A 14,548-nucleotide genomic window follows, 5' to 3' on the forward strand; every position below is an offset into this window, starting at 1 on the left:
TGGACTTTCACAAGAAATAGAATCACCACCATTATCTACCACATTTTCTCATGCTTACTGCTATTTAAGTGCCTCAGTTTCTATACAATCTTTCACAATTACGAAGCCCTAAATGGCTTCCCATCCTGCAATGATTTCATAAGGAGCCTATGCCACCTGTCATGTAAGGCTTTTTCCATGCCTAATAAATATGTTTTGGAGGGATTTCACCAGTGTTTCTGCTAAGATACATGCATAAAATGGACACAGAGGTTGTGAGAAATCTCTGCAGTTTCTCTTTGTCTATACACATGAAAGTATTGAAGACCAGCACTTGGATTAGTTAAGATAATGTTTTAATTCATCACTGTCTCCTCCTCCCCTTGGTACCAGCTTTTATGTTCATTGCATTCCCCACCCCTTTAAGTACTCAGTACCTCCTGCATGGTAACCTATTCTGATATTTGATATTATCATGCTTAATTTGACTGAATCCATTTGGATATTTTATCTTTAAGAAATTTGTAGTTTTATACTTTTAATTTATGATAAAATTAGATTAATATCAAACATTAATAAGTGACTTTTAGGAAGGTATATGAGCTTTCTTATTGACTTCAAACTATAAAGTACAAACTGTGACACTAGAAATTTAGTCCTTTAACACATATTGTATTTATATGTGAAGTGGAGGGTGAGCAGAAAACAGTGTTATATTTCTCTGTGTCCAGATGGATACTCACCTCAATCATTTTCCTATAGTAGAAAGTAGTTCCTGAAAACACTTAATAGAGATTATTTTAGAAGTTGCTGAGGTACAAATAAAACTGCTATGCTGACATCATACTTTTTTGCACCAACAACTCCAGTTCTTCTGACACAAAGGACCATCTTCCTAGTGCCATAATTTATCTTAGACCCCAAAACTCACAGAGGCACACATCATATCTCTAATACTTGCTCACCACCACTGGCATGAGTCTCTCTCTATCCTCTTCTACGTGAAGTGATTATACTGTCACCTCTGGAGCTAACTGTCCACAGTCTCAAGATGCACACTTTTTACAACCAGAAGCCTATGGACTGGGTGAGGGAGCAGAAACAGCCACAGGTACTGCCCATCAGGGTAATGTAAGTCAGCATGCAAACAACTGATCAGATGAACATGAATAGCAAGGTGCTGAGGCACTGGGAAGAGGGACCGGAAAACTCTATAATTGTTGAAAAAGACTCAAGCCCTTGGGAAGGGAAATGCCTATGGAATTATATAAAGACCATTTTATCCAAGTTGGTCATCATTCAGATGAAAACCATGAGGCCCAGAAAAGTAAACTGAGTTTCCAGAATTCACACAATTGATAGAATAGGAACCAGAATTCAGGCCTCTTGCTTCCTATTCCAGAAAGACAAATTGCAATAATAATCAAATAATATGAGCAATCATCCAGTAAAAATAATCTGGTAAAAACAGCAAAACTCAAAAGAGTGATTTTTCCTGGTTAAGACCAAAACTAACCATAGATTGCTATACATAGTATCTATTATAAATACTGAATTATATAGCAGCCTGACAATAAATACATAAAATGTGTACACAAAGATTATTGAACCTGTACAATACAGTAGTAAATAGTAACTTTATATTTGCAAAGTGACTGATCATTACTATCAGAATTTGTTTACCCATTCTTCATATTTTGTTGGTCATATAACCAGTTACTACAACTGCAAAAACAACCTAAGGTCATGTTTCTGTGAAGTCCATCCTTTTGGTCTTTAAATTTTATTATCCTCAAAGGTCAATTATGATCTCAATCTTTTCTTGTAATTTTACTGACAATTCTCCTTCACACTGATTAGTTCTTTCTCTAATTCCTGTAAATGGAAAGAACCAAAAAAAGTTGAAAAAACATGTATTGTACATATAACAAACAATCATATGTGGTATACAATATATATCAAATGAGTATTAAGATAAACATTCAAAGAGTTTTAAAGAAAAAAGTGTTATAGATATTGGAGGGCAGAAGATACAATTGCCATTAAGAACAGGTGGAGGAGGTTATGCCAAGGACATTGACCTGACCCTTTAGGAATTAGTGAAAATTGAATAGGAGAAGAATGAGGTACACAATGTGTGAAAAATACCTAAATTGATATAACAGGAGGAGACTTTTCATATCAATTATCATTACTTCTGTGTATATAACCATATTAGATACCCACAAACAAATAGAAAGTGGATAGTTCTTGATTGACAAGTAAGACTAATAATCCCAGATCATAGTAAGGTCTTAACTTCAAGTCAATAATCTTTATTACTTATGGTTCATTCCTCTCCCTCATGTTTTCCAATAATTTTAAAATGCATAATTAAAACAATTCTCATTTAAAAACATAGTAGCCATGACTAATGATCTTCCAGTGGGAAGGTACTAAGACTTTACAACATGTTTCTTGCTGGGGATAAGACAGCCTACAGCCAGCATTCAACTCATTTTTCTAAAGTCTATGGATCAATTTGAAATACAGAAAAAGCAGAACAGAGATAAAGTTAAAAAAAGATTAAAAATATGGGAAGAATGGGAGAAAGGGGAAATTAGAAGATATGAACAATGATTTAAAAATAAAAGAGCCTCAAAGGAGAAGAGAAACTGCTAAGCAAGACTAAGGTAGGATGAAATACAGTAGTCTCTGTTTCTGAGAACACAGGTTAAAAAGAACATAAATAAAATAAATTTATCACCTTTAATACACTCATTCAAGGATGCTACTGAGTTTGACTCTGGGAATTTCTCACCTTTAACACACTCATTTGGGGATGCTACGGACTTTGACATTGGGTTGCATTTAAAGGGGGAGAGAAAGGGCAGTTGCTTCTATTATCTGCCCTTTTGGACTCACAGAGTTTCTTTGAAAAGCACAGATGATAATAAATGGAAATATTGCCTTTTATACTATACAATAATATACACATGCAATTCACTGGAAAAAGTATACTTGTTATTATGATTTGAGGATACTACCATATACTAATCAAGAGAAACACATGTACAGAACAAAGAAGGCACATGAAATTTTTACTAGTGTGTGTTTTCCTTGTGTTCTACCACCCCAGGAGCAGCTTCTGCTACTGAAGGTCACAGTAGAGTTATTTCCAAAAGTTGTGGGTCTGCAGGGTGGACTTATCACATAGCTGTTTGCCAAAATTCAAAAGTCCAGAAACCATTTCCAAATTTTCACCTCTTTTATCTTCAAATCCTAAAACTATGAAAATTCACAAACTTAGCTCCATACATTATGGTAGAAAGGTTAATAATTTGGACTTTGAGGTTGACCAGGCCTGATTTTTGAATAAATTCACAAACTTACCTCCATACATTATGGTAGAAAGGTCAATAATCTGGACTTTGAGGTCGACCAGGCCTGATTTTTGGATCCAGGCTGCAACATTCACTTGCTGTGTTAACGTAACAAAGTTCCTAGACCATGCTGAGCTTCAGTTTACTTGTTATTGAATTAGGGATATAGCGTTCGAAGGAAGAAGTTCTAGTATTTGATTGCACAGCAGAGAAATTATAGTTATTGAACTGGGGATATGTAGATAGACATAATAAATTTTAGTATTCAATTGTACAATGGAGAAATCATAGGGAACAATAATTTATTATATATTCTAAAATAGCTAGCAGAGAAAAATTATAATGTTCCCAACACAAAGAAAAGATAAATATTCGAGGTGATGAATATCCAAATTACTCTGATTTGATCATTACACATTGTATACATGTATCAAAAATATCACATGTACCCCAAAACATGTACAACTATGATACATCAATAAAAAACAACAAAAAAACCAAAAGAATAGAAATCAAAAATAAATACATAAATACATAAAATAGGGATAATAATACCTCCCTTGCTTGCTTGCTCCCTTGCTCCATTTGTAAGAAATAAGTGATATAATATAGGTAAAAATACTTAACCTCATACCTACCACATAGTATAGCACAATAAACGTTATTTATTATAATCTGAGGCCTACCTACATAAGTGACTTTCAAGTATAGAAAATTATTTCTCAAATTTTAAATACTCCCTGATTCTCAGGTATGGTAATTAGACCTGGCTTTAGGTAAAGCTCTCATGTCTACACTTGGATTTAATCACTTAAGTATATTTCCCAGCACCCCCAACAAAAAAAAATTGCTCCTAGGTGGACACACTAATCAAAGACTTCCTGAGAAATGCAGGAAGAAGTTTTGTCCTCTGACCACGCTACGCCCTTTCCTTGATGGTAAGCCCCATAATCTAAAGCCATAAGTTTCAATTCCTCACATAAAAAGAAAAAAAATGTCTTTTATGACCACTTCAGATAACACTGGATATTTCCCTTGTCATTAGGAATGAGAAATGGGAGGAAGGTAAACTTGTAGACAGGAGAATTGGTAGATGCTTGAAAGGATTTCTGAAAACTGTGCCTATCCAGGTGTACAAATGTGTTGACCAGCCAAGGCAAAGCAGTCAAACCATACAATACCTTATCCTCAGGAAAATGGACTTTTCTCCCAAATTGCCTTTTTCATGAAAAATATAAAATTCTCCAGTTTCAACCTCATGCTAAATTTCACATGTGAAGAAAACAGTCATGCACATCAGAAAATTAAATGGCGAGTCAAGACCAAATTCCTAGTCACAGTTATGTTCTGTTTCCAGTATTACCTTCTCACTTATTCATTTTGTTAAAGTGGAGCCAAAATAGAAGTGGGTGTCACACATCAAGAAAGACTGAAGTCGTACAAAGCCGATCCTTATCCAACGTGCATTAAAATATGCATCAGGCATGTGTGATGCATATAGTAGAAGTGGAACAAATCAGGCCATGTGCAGTGGCTCACGCCTGTCAGCCCAGCACTTTGGGAGGCCAAAGCAAGCAAATCGCTTGAGATCAGCAGTTCAAGAAGTGTAACAAATCCTCTACAATATAAGTAGAGTGAAAAGAGATAGCTACAGTGATGAGGGAAGGCACTATAGTGATGTGGCATTTGAGTATAGCCATAAAAGAGGATAAATATTACAATACAAGAATATAGGGTCTAAAGAAGTCTTTTCAAGTAGATTGTAAAATATTTCAAAAATTGTAAGTTTGGTGTATGTTGAAGCATACAGATTGTCTACATCCTAAAAATCATTTTGGTGAAGAAAGGAAAATAAGAAAGGTAGTCAATATTCATTTGTTGCCTATCATTAGAAACTTCTCAAAGGTATATGAGAATTATTAAATAAATTTAGGGAGCCAGTGAAGGTATGGGTCCCGGGAATTGAGGATGAAGCCAGTAATTAGGGAAGATGCCCCATCTATAAGTGCGATGTATCAAATGGAGGAAAAGAAAAACGGAGGGAAGGAGTTCCCTTAAGAGAAGATTGAAATAGAGCAGACTTGGGGGGCTACACAGAGGAACTGGGACTACACAGTTCCAGCTTTAAGGCTATAGAAACAGAAATAGATATACTGGTAAGTAAAAACCCAAAGGATTGGTGACTTATCACAGCTGGAGTGAATACGAAGGAGCATGAACTCAAAGAAAATATCAAGATTTAAGCAAGAATAAATAGGACAATGGTAGGTCCATTTTTAGAAATTAGAAAGTTGAACATAAAATATGTCAGGGTGGAGAAAATAATCACATGTATTTTAAGCAAATAAGAGTATTAGATATTGAGATGCTCAGGTGAAAACATATGACAGGATATATGGGGGAAAAGTACAAATTCAACATGTAATTGTATAGTAATCCATATAAAAATAATAGACGGATGTGTAAGAGTGCATAAGGTCCCTGAAGGAAATAATACACAGGAAAAAAAGATTAAAAAGCAAAGACCCAACTATAGAAACTATCCACATTGATTATGTAAAGTAGGAAAAGGAATCAATAAACTAGACAGAACATCACAGAGGTAGGAGGACAAGTGCTGGCCTAGAGGAGCCAACACAGAAGCAGGTATCAAGAATAAAGGAGGAGAAGAGAGAACAAAGAGAGAGAGAAGAGAACTTCTGTGGCAGAAGATCAAGTGGGATGGTAGAATAAAGGAGAAGAAATACAAGAAAATTGAAATAAAATTTACAGAAATGTTCTACATTGTCAGTGGGCAGTTTTGACCTGGCACATTTTTGGCACACATTATAAATGTCAAATGTATTAATGAATGAATGAATGGATAATATAATGAATGTGATGGAGTTGTCAAAAGCTGAATTAATTAAAAGTCCCCACGAGAGGTTAGATGACAAAATTTTCAGAAACTTTCCATGCCACTCTGTTGTGACATCAACAGTGCTGGACCCTTGAAATCAAACCAAAAGGATTCCACCATGAGAATGAAAAGGGCTGAGAAGGGGAATGCTGGGTGACACAGAAGGTGACAAAGGGCGAAAGGTTTCTAGGCATTTGATAGACTGATGGACGTCCGAGCTGACCATAAGGCACAGGCCACACAGGAAGGAAAATGAGACCCAACGCGAAGAAAAGTAGGGCTAAACAGTCGGGAAAATGTGGGAAGAAGGATGAATAGTCATACTATCAACTCAGATTCCTCCCTGACATTCTTCTACAGCTTTATTCTCGTCCTTTGGGAGCCGAGATGTTCATTTTCCTACATTCTTAGCTGCCTACACACGGCGACTTTTCTCCACGATGCCTGATCCCTGCTGCATCCTCCTTCTCTAGTGGCAACAGCAAATGGCCACACAGAAGGCAGACATTGCACCCAACTGAGGAGAATGTAATTCACTCATTGCCAGTCACAGACCTTGGCTCACCGATTTACTAAGTATAGATTTTATTTCTATCCCTCACCTACCTGTTTTGCCAAGGGAACTAAGAAAAGAGCATCATCAAAAATTCAGATAGGTATAGTTCTCACAAGATGAACCAGATCCAGTACGGTATCACTGCAGACATACACACAGAGCTGCATAAAACAGGAAGAGAGCTGCTAATCACAGCCCCAGAGGGTAGTGGCCAAAGTGATGCCTTGGAGATCTGAGAATGCCAGACTGAGATCACACGGCCTGGGGAATTACCGCCTATGGTCATTTTGGTTTTCCCGGGATGGCCAAGCCCAGAAACTGTTAATTGGGTGAAATAAAGCATATTTGATTTTCTTATGACAAAAAAGGCCTTTTGCCATTGTCTACAGATGATACTTTAAATCTTTATTTTATGACTAAAGGTGAATTCCAGAGCAACATTAAATGTTGTCCCTTTAAATTTTTAATCATTTACATAACGATTACCATAATATTCAATTTAAACATAAAATGTAATTGAAAGTATGAGATTAATATGTGGACATGAAATCATATAATATTCCATGGAAAAAACAGAATGTATAAGGCAAAGAGGTTTAAAGTAACATCAAAACTAACGCTCACTATACAAATTCTATGAAATCCTCATAATTACACTGTGAAGCAGGTGTTGTTAGAGCCACATAATCTCAAACAAATTATTTATTATCTAAAATTACATAGATATTAAAAGGTTAGGCCATATATGAATTTAGGATTCTCTCAAAAATTTTTTCTCTTTCTCCTACATCAAACTTCCCTAAATTATAGAAAAGTCACAATGTTACCAAACATATTCACAAAACACATATAATCTTGAATCCAAATTTCAGTTACAGCAGAAAAAATAAAACTCTAGATCAATCTCAATCGTGTAAATAAATTCAGATTTCCAATCTAAGAGTCTCAATTTGACATACTTCTTTCTCTCTCTTCTTTCAAACCAGGAGAAATATAAATATGAGCCACAACCTTACAAAAGCTAGAAAATATTTACAATTCCACACAACAACACATGAAGAAAACCTTCTGGACATCAAAAGTTTAAACTAGTCAAGACTGAACACCAAGATAAAGTGCATGCCTCTGAAGAGCTTGAGCTAGTCAAGAAGCCCAGAAATCCCTAAAAGAGGTGTGTATACTGAGGAGTGAGGATCAAAACCTGTGATCTTTACTTGGAACAGAAATATTGCAGCATGTGAACCCTCCACAGAGTGACAGAGGGAAAGGAGTTTAAAGGGAAACATGCAAATGTATCACCTTTGGAATAATTAGGACACGTGTGTGGTGTAATGAAAGAAGGCAAAAAGATGGGGAAGAAGCCAGACAGATGGCAATTTTCATTCTATTATGAAAAGAAAAGGATAAGTCACAAGTCACATGATGAAATTAACAACTATGAATCCACTCTAAGCCATAGTCAATCCTATAGCCTAGGAGTCATTCTAACAGATGAGAGTGTTTTGGAGACAAGATTCCAAAACTCGTCTGCCTTCCATCATACTTACTACCCCCAGCTCCTCCTCCACAATATCCTTTCACAAGTATCTAGAATATTCAAAGACTAATAATATTATATAATTATTTATAATAATTGTATTACAAAAATAAAACTTGATGACCTTTATAAAAATACTAGAAGAAAAAGGGAAAATTACATAAGGTACAGAACATACAAATTATACCATGAAGCAGTAAAAAATAGGATCAAATTTTCTATGTTTTTTAAAAATATGCCTTCTCTAAAATGTTTTCTCTCTGAAATGATATTTAGAAGACATAATTGAAAATAAATACAAAATAAAGTGATAAAAAATAATCTGGCAAAATTCAGGATGTAATGAGTAAAGACAACCATGAAAGAAATGAAGATCAATAAAAGCAGGAAAAAAAGTGGGAAGTGGAGAGAATAATGCTGCTAAAAACACAGATAAGAATATAAATGACAGGCTTAAATATATCCTGAGCAAAACAAAATAGAAAACACAAGAAGGTGAAATGTAACATTAAAGTCAGGTCCAACAAATGAGAAATTAGTGTGAAAGAGCTCACAATATCTGGTTAAAAAATTCAAAGATAAAAGAAAACTTTTCTGAAATGAAGAAAACATTGAATCTAATGGTTAAAGGGCTTATCTTTATCCAGAAAAAATATGTTATAGTATGACCACATCAAGGCAGATGCAACTGAATTTACCGGACTTCACAAACACAAAATAAACAACCCACAAAAAAAAAAAAAAAAAATAGAGTCCCCATGAGGCTTTAATGAAGACAACTATTAGAGGCCAGGCGCAGGGGCTAACACCTACAGTCCCAACACTTTGAAAGGCCAAGGCAGGAGAATCACTTGAGCCCAGGAGTTCAAGATAAGACCAGCCTGGGCAACATAGCAAGACCCCATCTCTATCAGAAAAACTTAAAAAAGAAAACTATCCACTAAAAATGAATAGAGATAACATGATACAAGTGAGCATTCTGAAGCCTAATATCAAAATGTTCTGGGGTTTGCGGTTAAAGAACAGAATGCAAATGTTACAAACCATAACTGTATAAAGACTAATTATATTCATAACAAAAATAAGAAGAGAAAGATAGTAGAAATATATTCTGGTCCATTCAACTTTCACAGTGGGAGAGAATCAACAAATTATGTTATGGGTGATTAAATATTATTTTAAAAGATAAAGGTCATTATTAGAAAAATTAAAAATAACAAAATCAAATAAAGTTGAATGACGAAGGTGGGAGAGGAAAGTGGGTTAAAGGGGTAAAGTGGAACTATATTAAAAGAGTCAATGGAGAGCGCCCTTGGAAATAACACGAAAATTAAAGAACTAAATATAATTTATACAGCACATAACTAAACTATAAATCTTCAAATTAAAAGAAAATAGGTACATACAAAATATCACATAGAGAGAAATATTAATACCATGAAAATATTAAAATAAAAGCATAAAATTAATTCATTTATTTACCCTATTAGTATTTTTTGAACACCTACGTGCCAGGTATTGTGCTGAATGCCAGTAAGATATAGTTCCTGCATCTTGGAGTTTTCGTGGAGGAGACAGAGATTAATCAAACAATTACACAAATGTAAAATTGCAACCATAAAAATTACTCTGAAATACAATGAAAATTACTGTAAGAGAGGGATTTGATGTGAGTCAGAGAAGTTTCCCCTAAGAAAGCAACACTGAAGCTGAGATCTAAAGGGTAAACAGCAGTTAACTGAGTGGAGAACAAAGGTTTTCCTACAGGGGGAACAATCTGCTCCCCGAGGCCAGAGTGGGGCCTTGGGAGTTGTGCCTGAAACCACATTGTGAGGAAGTGAGGGGAAGCATTGTGCAGATAATGCTGAAATAAGTAGTGGAAGATGCTTCCTAAGAGAATGAGAAATCCAAGACTACTAAGCAGAAGAATGATTTGACCAGATTTCACATTTGTAAATATCACTATGGTTACAATGTATAGAATGGATTTTAAGGAATTCAAATTGGATACAGGTGAGTCAATTACAAAGCAACATGCTTGCCAAGGCAAGAAATTTGATTACTTAAACTAGATATGGGAGTTTTGGAAATAAGTAGATAAATTTGTCATATATTTGAGATAATAAATCACCATGACTTGATGGTAGACTTAGTTGGAGATGCCCTCACTAGTGCACCATCTAATGCTTCAAGTCTAATAATTATTCAATTCCTCCAGAGCCACCAATCCAATGGTTCTACCATATTTATGCTATCATTCACTTTACTGATATCCTTCTTACCTTACCTCTTTTCCCACTTTATATTCCATGATCAATACCTTGCTCCCTCGTAATGATTGTACTCACTCTTCCAAACAACAATCCTGATAAATCCTACTCTCTGCCTTCTACATCTTGATACCACACAGCTATATGTGGCTAGATAAAACAATCACACTGACAATCATCCTATGCTTTCTGAATCCATCACTCTTCTACTTTTTCAGATCTTTTCTTTCTCCCTCATCCTTACCATGTGATGAACTCATTTTGCATGTCAAGGGCTAAAAGTTGAATATTTTAAAAGTTCTCATTTTCCCACTACTATATAAACCAACAAATATCTTTAGTCTGCATTCACAAATAACATAACAAATGAGCTCTTCATATTTCTATCTGTGGTGAATTAAGATGACTAGAAATTTTGTGGCACCATCCTGTTGAAAACGTGGGGACATATTCTTTCTCCTTGAACCTGGGTGGGCTCTTTGACTGCTTTGACCAATAAAATACAGTGAAAGTAAAACTTCCAGTTTTGATGTCCAGATGTTAAAAGCCTTGAAGCTTCCATTTCTACATCTTGGAACCAACGTGTGTGGGGTGCTGAGTCAGTATCGAAGAATTCTGCTTATTCTGCTTGCATTAGTCCATTTTCATGCTGCTGATAAAGACACATCCAAGACCGGGTAATTTATGAATAAAAAGAGTTTCATGGAATCACAGTTCCATGTGGATGGGGAGGCCTCACAATCATGGCAGAAGGTGAAAAGTATGCATTACATGGGAGCAGACAAGAGACAATGAGAGCTGAGTGAAAGGGGAAGCCCCTTGTAAAGTCATCAGCTCTCATGAGACTTATTCACGACCATAAGAACAGTATGGGGGAGCCACCCCATCATTCAATTATCTCTCACCAGGTCCCTCCACAACACATGGGAATTATGGGAGCTACAATTCAAGATGAGATTTGGGAAAGGACACAGCCAAACCACCTCATTCTGCCTCTGGCACCTCCCAAATCTCATGTCCTCACATTTCAAAACCAATCATGCCTTCCCAATAGTCCCCAAAAGTCTTAACTCACTTCAGCATTAACTCAAAAGTTGGCAGTCCAAAGTCTCACCTGAGACAGGGCAAGTCTCTTCCACATATAAACCTGTAAAATCAAAAGCAATTTAGTTATTTTCTAGATAAGATAGGAGTACAGGCATTGGGTAAATGCAGCCGTTCCAAATGGTAAAATTTACCCAAAACAAAGGGACTAAAGGCTCCAAGCAAGTCCGAAATCCAGTGGGACAGTCAAATCTTAAAGCTCCAAAATGATCTCCTTTGACTCTATGTCTCACATCCAGGTCATACTCATGCAAGTGGTGGGTTCCCATGGTCTCAGGCAGCTCCACCCCTGTGGTTTTGCAGGGGAGAGCCTTCCTCCCGGTTGCTTTCACAGGCTGGCATTGTATGCAGCTTTTCCAGGCACACAGTGCAAGCTGTCAGTGGATCTACCATTCCGGGGTCTGGAGGACAGCAGCCCTCTTCTCATAGCTCCACTAGGCAGTACCCTAGTGGGGACTCTGTGTTGGGGGCTTCAACCCCACATTTCCATTCCCCACTGCCTTAGCAGAGGTTCTCCATGAAGACCTCACCCCTGCAGCAAACTTCTGTCTGGAGATCCAGGCATTTCCATACATTCTCTGAAATCTAGGTGGAGGTTCCCATACCTCGATTCTGGACTTCCGTGAATCCACAGGCTCAACACCACATGGAAGCTGCCAAAGCTTGAGGCTTGCACCCTCTGAAGCCATGGCCTGAGCTGTACCTTGACCCCTTTTAGCTGTGGCTGGAGCAGCTGGGACACAGAGCACCAAGTCCCTAGGCTGTACACAGGCAAACAGCAGAGTGGCCCTGGGCCCAGCCTATGAAACCATTTTTTCCTCCTAGGCCTCTGGGTGTGTGATGGAAGGGGCTGCCACAAAGATCTCTGACATGGCCTGAAGACTTAGCGATTAACATTTGGCTCCTTGTTACTTATGCAAATTTCTGCAGCCAGCTTGAATTTCTCCTCAGAAAATGGATTTTTCTTTTCTATCACAGTGTCATGCTACAAATTTTCTGAACGTTTATGCTCTGTTTTCCTGTTAAAACTGAGTGCTTTTAACACACCCAAGTCACTCTTGAATGCTTTGCTGCTTAGAAATTTCTTCTGCCAGATACCCTAACTCATCTCCCTCAAGTTCAAAGTTCCACAAATCTCTAGGGCAGGGACAAAATGCTGCCGGTCTCTCTCGATAGCAAGAGACACCTTTACTCCAGTTCCCATTGAGTTCCTCATCTCCATCTGAGACCATCTCAGCCTGGATTTCATTGTCTATATCATTATTTGACATTTTAGTCAAAGCCATTCAACAAGTCTCTAGGAAGTTCCAAACTTTCCCACATTTTCCTGTCGTTTTCTGAGCCCTCCAAACTGTTTCAACCCCTGCCTGTTACCCAGTTCCAAAGTCGCTTCCACATTTTTGGGTTATCTTTACAACAGCACCCCACTCTACCAGTACCAATGTACTGTATTAGTCTGTTTTCATGCTGCTGATAAAGACATACCTGAGACTGAGTGATTTATAAAGAAAAAGACACTTAATGGACTCACATTTCCAGGTGGATGGGGAGGCCTCACAATCATGGTGGAAGGCAAAAGGCACATCTCTACATGATGGCAGACAAGACAGAATGAGAGCTAAGTGAAAGGGGAACCCCCTTATAAAATCATCAGCTCTTGTGAGACTTATTCAAGACCACGAGAACAGTATGGGGGAAATACTCCTGTGATTCAGTTATCTCCCGTTGGATCCCTCCCACAAGACACGGAAATTATGGGAGCTACAATTCAAGATGAGATTTGGGTGGGGACACAGCCAAACCATATTGCTGCTGAATAGATCATGTAGACAGGCTCTCAAACTACACGGAGAGCAAGAGAGGCCCACCTTACCACAACATTTCATCCAATCCACTAATAAAACAGGCACATCACTGAAGCCACCTTCAACTCTCCAGACTACCCAGCTGCCAGCTGAATACCACAGATGGCTACAGTTAATACCACACGGAGCAGAATCATGTAGCTAAGCCCTGCTTGCACTAATACAAGTCCACAATTTTTTTTAAGTTTGTTGTTTTAAGCTGCGAAGTTTTGAGGTGGTTTGTGGTACGTGGATTAAGATGTCACTCTAATATAATATAAACTTAAACTATGTGGCATTGGCTTTGGAATCAGACAATGGATAGAAGCCAGAAGGATTCCACAAAGACTGTTAGTGAAAAGTGAACAGACTTCAAGGAAAATGATAGCAAAACCTGTAAAAGCATTCTGGGAACTGACAGTAAACACTGAATGGTCCTTAAGGAGACTGAAAACTTGAAAGAGCTTAAGAAGTCTACTGGAAAGGGCTTTAAGGATAATGAGAAAAAATCATCAGTGGAGGCTGAGGAAAACGCACCAAAGTCGTATTCTGATGGGAGAGTTAGAAAACGCTTGCCTGGAATGATATCAAATATAGGAAAAATACCGAAAAAGTTTGTGGATCTGGCTGGGGAGATTTTTGGTGTCAACTAAAGAAAAAAATTAAGCTTTTAAGAAATTAAAGTTAGATTTATTTAGGGGTCTGAGAACAAGAGACTGAGGATTACAGCCTAGGAGAAGTCTTTCAGAGAGGTTCTGTCAGACTGCTCTGGTGAAGGTCTTTAGCCCACAGTTTATATGCAGGCTGTACATATACACCATGGAATACTATGCCGCCATTAAAAAATGATATCATGTCTTTTGCTGGAATGTGGATGGACCTTCTATTATCCTTAGCAAACTAATGCAGGAACAGAAAACCAAATACAGCATACTCTCAGTTATAAGTGGGAGCTAAATGATGAGAACTAATGAACACAAAGAATAAAACAGACCCT

Source organism: Homo sapiens, chromosome 8, assembly GCF_000001405.40.
Source record: "Homo sapiens chromosome 8, GRCh38.p14 Primary Assembly".
In the NCBI taxonomy this organism is placed as follows: Eukaryota; Metazoa; Chordata; class Mammalia; order Primates; family Hominidae; genus Homo; species Homo sapiens.